The sequence below is a fragment of the Homo sapiens genome, chromosome 2, assembly GCF_000001405.40.
Source record: "Homo sapiens chromosome 2, GRCh38.p14 Primary Assembly".
NCBI classification, from domain to species: domain Eukaryota; kingdom Metazoa; phylum Chordata; class Mammalia; order Primates; family Hominidae; genus Homo; species Homo sapiens.
The window spans coordinates 45,673,170-45,688,039 of record NC_000002.12 but is presented as its reverse complement, the minus strand read 5'-3'; the positions used below and the strand labels follow the sequence as shown (position 1 = coordinate 45,688,039).

General features: G+C 41.4%; 1 protein-coding gene and 1 long non-coding RNA gene across 17 annotated transcripts in view; one reads left to right on the top strand and one right to left on the bottom strand.

Moving 5' to 3' along the window:
• PRKCE (protein kinase C epsilon) overlaps positions 1–14,870 on the bottom strand; it is a 536,712-nt gene that overhangs the window by 499,951 nt on the left and 21,891 nt on the right. Inside the window, exons 1-4 of one of the 16 annotated variants that reach the window (XM_011532975.4) lie at positions 10,943–11,015; positions 10,124–10,208; positions 5,695–5,781; positions 1,606–1,748 (exon numbers count right to left, since the gene is read on the bottom strand). The exons of 8 other annotated variants lie outside the window; for them this stretch is intronic. The gene's annotated coding sequence lies outside the window, so the exon portion shown is untranslated. Of the gene's footprint in view, positions 1–1,605; positions 10,209–10,779; positions 10,901–10,928; positions 11,016–11,272; positions 12,318–14,870 lie in introns of those variants that run through there. 7 more of the 16 variants (XM_047445094.1, XM_011532971.4, XM_017004490.3 and 4 more) reach the window with 7 other exon arrangements.
• Positions 12,520–14,700, top strand: PRKCE-AS1 (PRKCE antisense RNA 1). The gene is made up of 2 exons (XR_940049.3): positions 12,520–12,730; positions 13,133–14,700. It is a non-coding gene; the product is annotated as a PRKCE antisense RNA 1 (long non-coding RNA).

The window sequence follows — 14,870 nt, the reverse complement described above, 5'->3', positions numbered from 1 at the left end:
CTTGAGACACTGCCAGAGGGCCAGAGCTAGATTCCTAGTGGGGAGGAGCACATCTTCTGGGTGCTAACGCTCCAACTCTGAGGACCCCATACAATAAAGGCCACCAGCCACTCCCATCACACTGGTCTCCAACGTGCTTCCAAACAGAGCACAAAAGCAAGCGAGAACCTAATACCTGGGCTGTCTCTGCCCTGGCATTACAAAGCACAGCGCAACTACCTTATAATTAGGACTCTCCCTTTTTCTGAAATATTGGAATAATGTTCTAAATTTAGAGAATACCTTTCTTCTTTCTAGCAGCCTAGCTTGTTTCTGAGGTGCTCCTATACCAGCCATTTCAAGTGTCAGGAAACTAGAATCCCTATTGCCACCTTACAGATAAGCAAAATGAAACATAGAGTAATGAAAGACATTTAGATGTTACAAGAAATATTCTCAAATATATCTTCACACATAAATATTTCTGTGGGACAACATTTCTGGAAGTGGAATTACTGAGTTCATGGGTATGTGCATTTTTGGATAAAGATTATCAAAACACCCACTGTAGAAGCTGTTCCAATTTATGTTCCCATTATGCATGGATGTCTTGTTCCCTCCACCTTCAACAATAAATGTTTTTATGTTTATCATTCTAACAGTTAATAAAAATGGTAACCTATTGTAAGTTGGATATCTTTCTGTATATTTAAGAGTCATGTATATTTCTTTTTTCTGTCAATTGTCTGTTTATACCTTTATTCCATTTTTTCATTATGTTATTGATCTTTTCTTACTAATTTATTAGAATACTTTATAAATTAAGGATATTAGTCGTTTGGTTTTTATGTGTGATTTTCAATTCATTGTTTGTCTTTTGACTTTGTTTATGTTGGTCCATGAAGCTTTCATGGACTCGGGCTCCATGAAACCTGCTTGTTTTGTTTTGTTTTTGGAAATTTAATATATCAATCTCTCTCTTTTTGATTTCCATGGTTTGTGTTATACCTAGGAAGACTGTACCACCACAAGATTTTTAAAATTTCTCCTTTTCCTTCTATTGCTTTTAATATTTAAATATTTGATTCATCTGGCATTTATGTTGGCAGAAGAAACTAGGTATAGATCCAATTTTTGTTTTTCCAGAAGGCCACCCAGTTGTCCCAAACTATTGAATAATCTACCATTCTTCACTGATATAAAATGCCACCAAAGACAAATTTTCATTCTATATTGGTGTCTAGCTCTGGACGCCAATTTTCCATTTCTATTCTGTACTACTGATTTCTCAGTCTACACAGTATCAATTCTATACTACTTAAATATAGTTTAAATATATTAAACTATATTCAGTATATTTAAACCATAATATGGTTTAAAATATGCAATATCTGGCAGAGGTAGTTCATCTTTATTATTCTCACTTATCCTGACTATGAATGAAGCATTTGCTTCCATTCTATTTTCTACCTTGTTGTTTTTCTCTACGGTTATTTTTGTATATTAATTCTATGTCAAGCCACCTCACTGTATTACCTTATCATTTGTAATAAATAGCATATTGTATAGCATATAAGCATATCATATGCACATGATAAGCCAATTTCTCTCTTTCTGCATGTATACCTTTTTCTCTTTTGTCCAAGTGCATCAGCTAGTGCCCACAGAAAAATGGTGAATAAAGGCAGTAGTAGTAGACCTCCTTATGTTGTTGGCAGCATGACCCCCTAAGCCCCATGTAATCTTGTTAGCTCTGTATTCTGCAAACCCTTACGGAAGAAGAGAAAGGAAGACAATTAAATTGCTGATTTCAGCTCTGGGATTTAGGTGAAACAGAATAGAAGCAGGAAAATTATAAAGAAGGAAAAGTTTTTCTCTAGGCCTCTCCATCTACATTTACCCTGCTAAAGCCCTCTGGGTTTCTGCTTGCATACTCCTTCCCTTTAAAACTTGCCAGGCTTCATAGGATCAGCTGTGCGTTTTATACAGGACATATACAAGATAAGGCACTAAGATCCCATTCTAAGAAATTCCATATGTGATTCTATATGATTGATGCAAAATCTCCTATACTTAAATTTTAAAATAGTAATAATAACCAAAATCTGCTAAGCTATCATTTGTCTATTGTGACTACTGAATAGTCAGGGTTCTATCCGTGGATAGGCAGTGACTAAATTGCCAGAGCAGGATCTTCGTGAGTTCTATTCAGGCATACCTGTCACAGCAGAGTGCTCTAGTCTATAGTGTGCAGACTGTCACCAGGCTTATCCAAATACTACCCAGTCCACGAAAGCCTGAGTCACATTCTACCCCCTTAAAAGCTGTCCTATACCACTGCCCCCCGTACCTGGGGAAAGACTTCTAGTTGCCTACAGTCAAGAGACTACGGGCACATACCACAATGGCTGGCTAATTTTTGTATTTTTTTTTTTTGGAGCTGGGGTCTCACCATGTTGCTCAGGCTTGTCTCAAACTGCTGACCTCAAGCAATCAGCCCACCTCGGCCTCCCAAAGTGCCGGGATTACAGTTGTGAGCCACCACACCTGGCCTGTTTTGTTAACTTCCCTGACACTCCCTCCTGGCACGATAGTAATCATGTGAATAACAGCAATTGAATCTCTTCTGCTTTCAGGAAATGTATGTTTAGTGAGTAGCTAGAAGTAAAGACAAATCATAGAATTAAAATATGGGTATTTATGCAGATGGGCAAATCTTACATCTTGTAAAAAGAAATTACTGTAATCCACAGTGACTATAAGAAGCTATTTAAACAACAGAGTATCTTAGTACCAGGTACAGAGAAAGTTTTCAACAAAGTATTGATCAACTTAATAATAATATTTCTCATTTTCATCAGAGAACTGATCTTCCTTTACTTTTCCATGCAGATAGAATGTTAGCTCTTCCCTTCAGCCAGGTTTTGGTTATCCAGGAGTCATTGGCCCGTGTTTAGGTTTCAAGTGCCCTTTTATTCTCGTCTTGATTCAGCACCTTCCTGATCTTTTGGCCAATTTTCAGACCACAAAGTGAAAGAAGGGCCATGAGGAAAAAGCCAGGAACAGACTTTCTAACCAGTGCCAAAGCCAGGGCGGGTGTCGTTTCTCCCTCTGGATCTAGCTCTTCCTCACCTGGGAGTCTACCTTCTGTTTCCTCTTTCTGGTGCACACTGCCAGCCCCCTGCCAGCCACACAGATCCTATTTGCAAATTACAAATGGGGTTGACTGGGGACACACAAGTCCCATGCATTCCCTCCTTGGATGCGCACACTACCCCTTACACACGTCACAGAAAGCACTGCCACCTCTGGCAGACCCAGCCCCAAGTCTGGGTGCCCATTTGGCAAAAGAAATGAAAATCGAGGTGCAGTCCCAACTTGCCCCCTGACTAGGCGCCCAGATGCAGGAAACCAGAAAGAGCAACTCAGCTTAGCCCTGTAGGTCACATGCCACTAGGGGGTTGTAAAATCAATATTGTAGGTCCAACCAACATTTTTTAAGTAAAATAATAGGTTATTAACATAGATCAAATGCCTCTCAATGTAGTGAGGGTAAGTGCTATTCCACTGCTCCTTATGGTGCATGCTATGCCGCAAGGCAGAATATATTTCCTATAGAGAGTCTAGGTCAGATATCTGAAAGCCCAGCCTTAGGCTTGACTGTGGTGTTCATGTGAGCACAGATGAAATAGCCCTGATCCTCCCCAGCGTCATTTCAGAATCATGCTTGCCTATCCCCCCATCTCCTCATGGTTTCTTCACCAGGAGCCAAGACCTTCTGGTTAATCAAAGAGGTCTAGATTCAAAATACAAATTTCCTGAAAAAGGGAATCCACTGCCTTATATTCACACTGGGTTCTAAATGGCCAACTTCAGAAGCTCCTGGGAGCAGGTTTCAATGAGGTAGAGAGACACCATCACCTCTCTGAATGCACAGGGGAAGAATAAAGAGACCTCCCCCTTGACTTGACAAGTTTTCCCACCTCTGGCATAATTTCTCACTCCCTCCTACCAGCAAACACCAAGTCAGCTGTGGTCTGAAGTTGTTTATGGTGTTCAGTGGCAAGGCAGTTTGAAACTTCCAGCTAATAAGTCCCTGGGTTGATGGTGAACTTAGCTTCCCACATTATTTCTGTCCCCCACCACAAGAAATGATTGAGAATTGGCTGCAAACTTAGCTGCCTATCAATGGATAATATATATCTAGCCAAGGGATGGAGAAACAGGAACATCTACCACCAAAGGCAGACACTGGATTCCAGTGGAGTATAGCTGGGAGGACGGAGCACACAAGACTGCCTGGGACCGTTTATCTTGTTATATTTTATCTTTTGTCATCAGTATACAGTTCCAGCTCTAATGACTTGTTCAAGGTAAGAAGATGTCTTCTGAACTTGCCATAAATACTGCTCCCGCAAAGCATTTCCCCCCAGCTCCCATGCAGCAGTCAGACTTCATTCCATCCTATCTCTCATTCTTTCCAACTAGAAGCAAAGGTACTTGAGAGCAAAATCCTTCAGCATCCTCTCCCTGCTGTCCTAAGCCCACAGTTGGGTCTAGAACTACTTGGCACCTTACTCCTCGGGGTATTACTTTTCTTATCTCATTTCCTCACTATTTCTGAGAAGGGCAAGACCTGCCAAGGAGACTGGGCCTGAAAATAGTTCTGCTCCTATGACGATTCCAAAGAAAGATGTCTCACATTTCCTAATGCCACTTGGCTGACTGCTTGAGGGGAAAAAATTGTCACAGTCTATGGGGGTGCTAATTAGCATCAATTAAAACTCAGCTAGCCTGCCCTGGCACTGAATTACCTGCAGGACTTGCTCAGTCCTTGTGAAAATCAAAGGGAAATCCAGAGACAAAGAGATTCTGCGGTGATAGGAATATCAACTTACTTTCCCCACTGAACATTTCAACCAACGCTTGGCTAGCCAGTATCCTTTCATTCAGGAAGTAAAATCTCTGCTGGATTTGTCAAGAGGATAAAATGCTCAAAGTTACTAAGGCCATTACAAACTATTCCCCCATTAAAAATAAATAAAAGACGTACAATATTCTTTTTTCGTAAAGAGAACTGAGGTGACTTTACAACTACATACACATAGCCTTCAATAAACAGGCTTTATTTCTTGCCTACTATATGCCAGGAACACCTCAATTTACCGTGGCAGAAAACTAGAATCTTGGCTGGGCGTGGCGGCTCACACCTATAATCTCAACACCTTGGGAGGCTGAGGTGGGTGAATCACCTGAGGTCAGGAGTTGAAACATGATGAAACCCCGTTTCTACTAAAAATACCAAAAATAGCCAGGCATGGTGGCACATGCCTGTAATCCCAGCTACTTGTGAGGCTGAGGCAGGAGAATTGCTTGAATCCAGGAGGTGGAGGTTACAGTGAGTGGAGATCGCGCCATTGCACTCCAGCCTGGGCAACAAGAGTGAAACTCCATCTCAAAAAGAAAATTAGCCAGGCAAGGTGATGTGTGCCTGTAATCCCAGTTACTTGGGAGGCTGAGGCCCAAGAGTCACTTGAACCCAGGAGGCAGAGGTTGGAGTCAGCCAAGATCGTGCCACTGCACTCCAGCCTGGTCAACAGAGCAAGATTCTGTCTCAAAAAAAATAAATAAATAAAAAATAAAACTAGAATCTCAAAGTTATCTGGGAACCAAACTACCCCCTTACCACCAGTGTGTTATTTCAAAAGTTCCTACCTCGTACTCTCAGACAGGCACCCTCTGTAAAATCGGTGCTCATCAAACATCATTTTGAAAAAGAAAATGAGTAAGAAATCATGTTATCTGTAAAAAATGAGTTAGAAATCATGTTATCTGAAAAAAAGAATAAGAAATCATATTATGAAGTTCAAACTTATCAAATTCTACACTTTAAATATGGGCAGTTTGTATGTCAGAGATGTCTCAGTAAAGCTGTTTGTAAAAAATTTAATAAGTTCATTTATGATTGTTTGGATAAACAACACTTATATTTTAATAAGCTTAAACACTACCATTTCATAATTAAAATAAAAACCAAGTTTACTGCCCATAAAGAGCACTGGTGAAGAATTTGAATGGCGAGGAGAACCCTGAGTCTGCACCACTGGGGCGGTGTGGCTGGGGAGGAGAAACAAATGCATGCAAAGGTTACTAATAACCCAAGACAGGATGTAATAAGTGCCAAATGAGTGACTCAGACAATACATGTCACAGGAGTAGTGACTGCTGACCATGCACTTAGTGAGCACCAAGCCAGGCTGCTGCTTTAATACAGGGCATGCATGCCTCTCACAGTCCTTGGGGTTTGGATTCCCACAGGCATTGTCTATTTGTGTCCACGCATGGGGAATGGCAGTTGCATTACCAAGAAATAGCCCCAGCTCTGGTCTCTCTGATCTCATCCACAGGCCCAGGTAGAGATAATCAGCAGAGCCAGATGAATTTCAGGAATATAATTTCAGATGAAACAGCTCAAGGAGTCAAGTGGGACATTAATCACAGGTGGAAGCACCAAAACCAAAACAATTTTGGCTGGCCTGTACTTAGGTGCATCATAAACGCCTACCTGGGTACTCTGACAACTTTTTCATGACTCAGTTTACAAATAGATATAATGGGACCATTTTCCAAATGGTGATTTTAAAATCACCTGGTTAAAATTTAGGATAACTACATTGCCCTAGACACTCAATCACAATTACTTCCCACCAGGAGGCTTATTATATTAAGAAAATGCTATGCCTTTTTTTTTTTTTTTTTTTTTTTTTTTTTTGAGACAGAGTCTTGCTCTGTCTCCCAGGCTGGAGTGCAGTGGGGTGATCTCGGCTCACTGCAACCTCTGCCTCCTGGGTTCAAGCGCTTCTCCTGCCTCAGCCTCCCGAGTGACTGGGATTACAGGTGCATGCTACCACACCCAGCTAATTTTTGTATTTTTAGTAGAGACGGGGTTTTAGCATCTTGGCCAGGCTGGTCTTGAACTCCTTATCTCATGATCCACCCACCTCGGCCTCCCAAAGTGCTGGGATTACAGGCGTGCGCCACCGCACTCAGCCCAAAAATGCTATGTCTTTAAATGACATGTATAGATTATAATACATAAGTTACTAGAGTTTTAAATCTCTAACCTCTAACACAGGGTCTGGTGGCCTGGAACACAGTAGGTAGTCAATAAACGTTGAATGAAGAGCAAATATCCTGTATAAGAACTTCAGGGTACCTAAGACAACTCTCTAATTGTTTTACATGTGTTCATCTGGTTTTTGTTAAAAGCATGTTGAGACAAACCATATGTTCTTATTTATCTTCACAAGTTGAAAGGTATAGGCTATTGGAAAGACTCTACAATAGGTGCATTTGTTAAAAAGGCTTTTCTGCTCTCTTAAAGACCATTTAACAGCAAGACATCTTGGCCATATATGTATGTATATATCTGAGAGTCTGTGAGTTTTAGCCTACTGGCAGAAGTCGGCTGGCCTTTATCAAGCCTGTTTTTATCTTACTTTCCCCGTTTGGTTCACCATGTCGCAAGCATGTAAACAGTCCAACTTTAAAGTTTAACCCTGGGCACCATAAAACTAACAGTTAAAGAAACAAGTTTGCGCCTAAAAGGCCAAAATAAGCATCCCCACCACAGGTTAGCGAATATTTAGGTTATCAGAAGTGTAATTCTCTTTTTCCATTCTCACACCCTGCAGAGGGGAAAGAAGGGGGCACACAGAGCGGTTGTATGCTTATTCCATCCAATCAGCACTAACAAACTAACATCTCCTAACTTGGCAAGAACCAGTCTTGCTGCTAGACCTCCTAAGATTGCTGGTGTCCACCACTGAAATCCAACAAAGTTATTAACCTCTGGAGGTTTAGAACACCAATATCAAACCATCATGTCATTATTTGTCTAATGACATCTATTGTTTCTAGAATAGCTAGCCCTGGTCTGTGAATGGTAGCCTCAAATCTGTACCCTCACTCTTTATCCCAATAAACCTGTTCATCTCTGAATGTTTCTCTTTACCTCTCTTGTTTAATAGTTATCATCTCCCTCAAATGCTCTACTAATACAGAAATGTGCTAAATCTCTTCCCAGATCTAACATCATGAAATAAAATTATGGAGACAGGGCAGAGCCTAGGTTTAGAAGAGAGACTTCTCATGCCCTTTGCTCTACAAGGACTTCACCTTCATGTTGCATGGTCCTTTGGGCAGGCCCGGAAGAGCCAAGCTGAACCAGTCCTCTCTACCCTAGCTGGAGGGAACACAGAAGAAGGAAGGCAAAGTGCCTACAGAGGTCAATCAACACCACTACAGCAGGGCCCCACATACACCCGCAGACTACAGGCTCCCTGTTCTTGGTGGACATCAGCTCCCCATATCCCCTCTTCTTGTAAGTGTTCCACATGCACCCACTCTGTGCATTATCCCGATCCACCCCATCATTCAAGTTCTACTGCTACTGAAAAGGCTTCATAACTATTACAACCTGTACACCCATGAGCTTGACCTCCTTAGATCCACAGTACTTCCTGTCCATATTGTCTACTTGGCACTTATTATAAACAGACTTAGATTTTAATATATATGGACTTTATTTTCCCTGTTAGATTGCAAACTGAGGGCAGAATTATTTTCTTTAGCCCAGTATCACCTTTCACAGAGTATATATGCTATAAAAATTTGTGAATTGATGTGGAATAAAGTGAAGTAAGACACATTGCTTTCTCCAGTATAGCTCTTAGAGGGAATAATCTCAATCTTAGTGGAAATAATTAGGCTTCCAATACTGTGTATTCTTTTGAGTATATGTGTGCCTGTAGTTTCGTGTTTACAGCAAAGTACTATGCATGGAAGTCCTGGGGCAGATTCTATTGCAGCCACACTGCCATTCTGCTGCTTGCATATTTATGAAAAATTATCCTTTCAGGATGAAATTTTCCATGACTGGCTTCGGATCCAAAAGAAGGGTGTTTCTCTCTCTTTTCTATTCTTTTGGAAAATTTGAACAATATCCAGTCAGCCATGTAGAAGTTGGGCATTAGTGAAAAAAACAATGACATGTTTTGTCTTTCAAAATCAATGTAAGCCTTTCTTTTGCGTGACCAATTAAAAAACAACTAACTTCAAAATGAGAAACCTTCCACTCGTCTAGGCCTCAACAAGGATGAACCTGAGTGATAGTAGAAGTTAATGGAATGGAAACAGAACACAAACAAAATGAGTATGTATCTCTTCATTATACTTGCTTTAAGTTTCACAAATTCCCAAAGTTGTGTGCCTCTTCCCATGACTTCTAAAATTGAAAAATGTAATGTATTTATGAAATCAGAGTCCATCGAGGCTGAGCTAAAGCTCAGAGAAATGAAAAAAAAAAATCCAGATAATTACATGATAAACTTCTGGACAGTAAATAATTTATTTATCTTGAAAGAAAGGTTCCCTCCAAATTTTTCTCAAAATAGAGTCGTTTGCCTTCTAACCTCTTATCTATAAAATGTCCTCACATGATATTAGTTTTAATACACTAAATCAGGCGTGCACGTTCATTCTATGCCCTTACAACTGAAAAAAAGTTCGGAAATGACTGGTTACCTTAACCAGCAAAAGCATTTTTAGTTTGCCAACAGCAGTTGCAAGACAATTGCAATCTGCAGAAGACAACATTGGAGAAATTTTTTAAACCTGATCCCTCACTAATGTTACCAAAATTATATATCACAACCAGTAACAAATGCCAAAATAAAATTTAAATTCTTAACTTTGGTTTCTTTGATTCTTTTAATTAAATAAAAGACATTGTAAGAATAGTTTACATTATATAAAAACAGCATCATACATCCTGAATGCATTTGAAATGGGTAGAACATTAAAGGTTTAAAAAAGAAAACCCAAAATTTCAACATGCAATATGTATTCACATATGCACACAACCAGCTCTCAAGAAACCAAAAAGAAATTGGTGAGAAAGGCAGAGAAACCAAGTAAGTATAAATTCCCATGTGACCACAAAGTTTTCCCCCTGGCTCGGTGTAGAACCACCAACTTCTTCGATTGGGTTCTAAAAGGTTCCTCAGCTCCATGTAAAATCAAGTTGATATTTACATCACAGTGGCAGACAAAAGGGCAGGGAAAGCTACTGATATGCTCCTACCGGTTCCCACTACCCCTTCAGAACTTCCGTGGTGTCCTGGCCTTTCCATCGTCTTTTTCACTGCCCATCTGAAGCGGTTGTGTCTCTGAAACAGAATTTTCCACAACGATCTAAAGCAATTGCCTTTTAAGCCAGAGCCCACCCAGCAAATAACACCCGACCACAAGCCAGAGTATCTTTACCAGGCTAAATACCTAAAGCAGTTTCCTAATGTTCTAATCCATGTCTAGTCCATCCCACAGGGTGATACAATTTGAATCTGATCAGGTTATTTCTCTGCTTAAAAAACCTTCACTGCTTTGGGAGGCCGAGGCGGGTGGATCATGAGGTCAGGAGATCGAGACCATCCTGGCTAACAAGGTGAAACCCCGTCTCTACTAAAAATACAAAAAATTAGCCGGGCGCGGTGGCGGGCGCCTGTAGTCCCAGCTACTCGGGAGGCTGAGGCAGGAGAATGGCGGGAACCCGGGAAGCGGAGCTTGCAGTGAGCTGAGATTGCGCCACTGCAGTCCGCAGTCCGGCCTGGGCGACAGAGCGAGACTCCGTCTCAAAAAAAAAAAAAAACAACAACAACAAAAAAAAAAACAAAAAAAAAACCTTCACTGGCTCCTCCATAACCCTCAGAATAAAGCCCAAATTCAAGAGTTGCTATCCACCTAAAGTGGCCTCTCGTGATTCCAGGGTTAAATCGGAAAGAAGGAAGGAAGCAGGGAGGGAGGAGGAGAGGGAGGAAGATCAATGGCAGCTGACAAAAAACAGCTTACTTGTCCCCATGCCCCCAACCTACTCCCACCCCCCACAGTACTTCGCAGTAGTCACATTAAACTGTCTCCAGTTTCTCCTTTCAGGTCTCTGCTGAAATGTCGCCTTCTCCCAAAAGCCTTCCCCAACTCCCCATGTCTAGTTTGGGGCCCTTTTGGGTACTCTGGTGGCATACATCACAGGGCTTTATGAACTATGTCATAATTGCCTGTTTGAGTATCTGTCCCCCAATTGGAGCATGAGCCCTCTGAGATTAGGGTACCTATCTAGGCATGTTCCTGGTTATATCCCAAGACCTAGCTTGATGGCAGGGGCTCCCTAATGATTTATTAAATGAATGATCTAGAAACTATGAAGAAAAGAGGAAAGAATGGAGACACTTGATACCTCCTTCCTTCCCCAACCAGCAGTGACTGACCACAGAAGGATGGGCCTGCATGGCCTTTACTCGCTCCCTCCTTAGAACCTGAGCTGAGCCTTCTATTACTCTCTTCATTATCACAACCTTTCATCACAATGGGGCAATATGTATGTCCAGTCAAGAATGAAACAGGCAATGGTGTTTGTACGGACTGGGCTACTTCCATGTATGGATCAGAGTTTATATCCCAATAGAACCATCTTCCTCTCTATCCATACTCTAGTCTTATAAACTTAGTTTTCCTGTTAATGCAAAAATATAATCCTTATTGACGTCATTCTGACCTGCATGTATTAAGAGAGGAAAAGGCTCTGTATCCTTTAAGAAATTATTAAAATGTTTTAAATTGTTTTGTTGCACTGGTTTCAGTTTAAAAGATCTCTTTTGCACAGCAACACTTCAATCACTAGAATACTTGCATTATGAGGCAAATAGTTACAAGAAACAGGCTGCTGGGGGAACAAGCACAGGTGAGCAATGGAAGGTCAACAGAGCCAAACACGCGGCAGAGAAGCAACAGAGGGTTCCATCTTGAGACTGGGAAACTTACCACTGATAATGACCATGTAATGACACCCCCAGTGAAGCTATCCTGAGGCTCCCTGTACTTCACAAGGCCAAGAAAATCCCGTCACGCCAATGGTAAACAACTTCTCAAAACAAACAAACAAAAAAACAAGTCAAGCATTGGTGTCTACTAGGCCATGATTTTAGAGCCAATGTAGAAAACATTGTAGGAGCTACTGCCAGGTACCGGTGCTGCTTGAATAAAAGCGTGGAGTGGAGGCAGCAACTATTGAAAAAGGGGAGTAAAATGCTGAGACGCTTCCACAGCCAAAGTTCACCCCTCCCCACCCACCTATCCTGCCAGCTGGAGGCTTCCTGGTGGAAGGCCACCTCTCACCAAAGTCAGGCCCATCTGTGAGCTGAGGGCCAGCTCCCCGGAGACCCCTGGGAATTCTGAGCAGTGCCAGATGACAAGCAGAGGCCTGAACTCTTCTGGCATGACCTTGGGCCCAGTACCTCCCCGCCTCCCCTCCTCCCACCTACAGTGATTAAAGATAACCCAGCCAAGCAGCCTGGCATGTTGAAAAGGAGCAGGGCTGGAGGGAAATGAGGAGGACCAAACCGGGAAATGCACCACTGAATTTCCTCAAACCACATGGACCTTAAAACTCGTCAGACCGGTTTAAAATTAGCCAATACCCAGGAGAATAATTCATTAAATGCAACTGTTATGATTCATTTAGAATTCACTCCAATTCTGAAATGATAAATGACAGTGCATTTATGTATAAATGACAGTGTATTCATCTCCCCAAAGCTGGTCACAAGTGCCCTCACTGCTCTGGAGTAAAACATGGGCTAGAAACAAGGAAGCAAAGACTTAAAAACAGCATCATGTTTATTCACTGGAGAAAAAGGTGAGCTGAGAAGAGCTGAAGGCCTGGGCTAAGGTGCTAAGGGGCACGCTGGGTCTTCCTGGTCTGGGGAAACGTTTTCTGGAAAGGAGACGGCTTAATGTACATCTACAGAGTGTTTTCTTGTGCTATTTTGTTTTGTAACTTACAGGGGATTTTTCTCTTTATAATTGATGAGGTCCAGTCTCCAAGATCTGCCTGCTGTCTTCCTGGTCAGCCAGGCTTGGAAACTCTCACCTCATCCCTTCCTTTCCTTCTCTGACATTTAATCAGCATTGAATTAAAATTAGGCATATGGATCACCCAAGGCAAATGGAAATTAAGATACTGGATTTATAACATGCATAATCCAAACACAGAAAATCTTGCTACCAAAAATAATCATGTCTCTCATCCATTTCCCAGACAAACAGTTCAACTGCCTGCTTCACTTTGCCTTCAAGTTTATCAAGATGAGGCCGAGAATTCTCATAAACTCCTCAAGGACACCAAAAGGAGTTCCTGTAGACTCACTCAGAGTCCTTTCCCTCCTCTCCCTCAAGCAGTGCCCACCTCTTTTCAGGAAGCATCTTCTCTTTTCCATTTGACTTTCATAAAGAAGCTGGAGTTTTATTTTTCCTTGGCCTCCAATCTGTGCTTTGGGCTGTGCCATAAAATTCCTCAGTAATTTATGACCTGTTTTTCCTTTAAAGTGGAGAAGCACTAATCCCTCACAGAGTGGGGAGACAAGCATTTCCAAAGTGAGGTAATCTAGAAATATATGCACTGACCACAGTGAGTTGGGCCCTGACTTACAATTGAAGGCTCATGTAAAGATCCCTAGCCCTTGACACAGAGTATGATCTCAGAAATAGCCTGGTCTCCAGTTAGTACCTGGTTTGACAGAGTCCTCTTGACCCAAAAGTCCATCTTTTCCTGTCACTGATATCTGAAAATTCCAGACATTGCCATGTCACCCTCCAGATAAAGGAAGGCCTCCTCCACAGCACTCTTCTAAAGCACCAGTCTTATATATCTCATTACGGCCATCTACCTCAGTGTAAATGAGTTTATACTCAGCCAAGAGGAAGTGAGGAATCCTGGCTGGGCCCCAGGCTTGGAGGGGCTCAGAAGTGGAAGGAGCGTGCACAAAACCTGAAATCAGTCTTTGACTCCTTCACATTTTCGCCGCAAGTCAACCCCAATGATCACGCTTACATCTTTGCAAGTAGCTTTTAAAAAATATTTTCCAATAAACACAAGGAAATGAAATATTGAGATACACCTTCAAAAGAGAGTTGATGAGCAGCAAACATTCTGGGTCCAATCAAGCAACAATTGATTTGTGAACAGAAGGAGCAAGAGTTCAATTGCACTTGGATAATATTCACCCTGACCTGATTCAGGAAAGAGGAGGAAGAGTGGGTCTCTGTCCTCAGCCAATGTAATTCCATAGGAACGATCCCTGGAACCATGATATTGGCTTTGCTACTGCTTTATAAATGTCACTCACTAAAGACAGAACAAGGATGAACTCCTAGAATATTATTCAGAAAATCTGGCTAATAGGGGCCTTGTTTGCACTTCTATTTTCATATACTCTACAAACACTTGTTCAACCTAAGCTTTTCTCTCTTCTGTAGTCAAGTGTCTATAAACAACACTTGGGATCCTAGTTTAAAAAACAAAGTTTTAGTCTTTATGATAAAAATATTAACATAAATGGATAATGATTATTTCCTCCTCACCATGTTAGTTTCTCTTGGCCAGCAGCCCTAAATATGTCGTATTAACTTTAAATAGTAGGGTCCAGATTCTAAGACAGTGTTTCCCAAATGACATCAAGAGATGTAAGTACTGTCCCTAAATGTGTGTTGAACAATCAAATACAGTTGGAAACACTGCTCGCTCAATTGCCATCCAGAAAACTGATGGAAAATAGCCTATCGAAGGCTGTAAAAAAAAGTCCTGCAATAAATGTTTAGCTTCATTTACTCTATGGTTTTCCAAATTCACTTGATTATGGCATTCGTTTTTGAGTGTGAATGACCTATTCACTTCTTATATTGTTTGGAACACATTTTGGGAAACCCTGCTCCAAGGGAAGAGTTACAACTTGAAAGGAAGAATCTACCATTGCAGTAGGCTGATTGAATCACAAAAG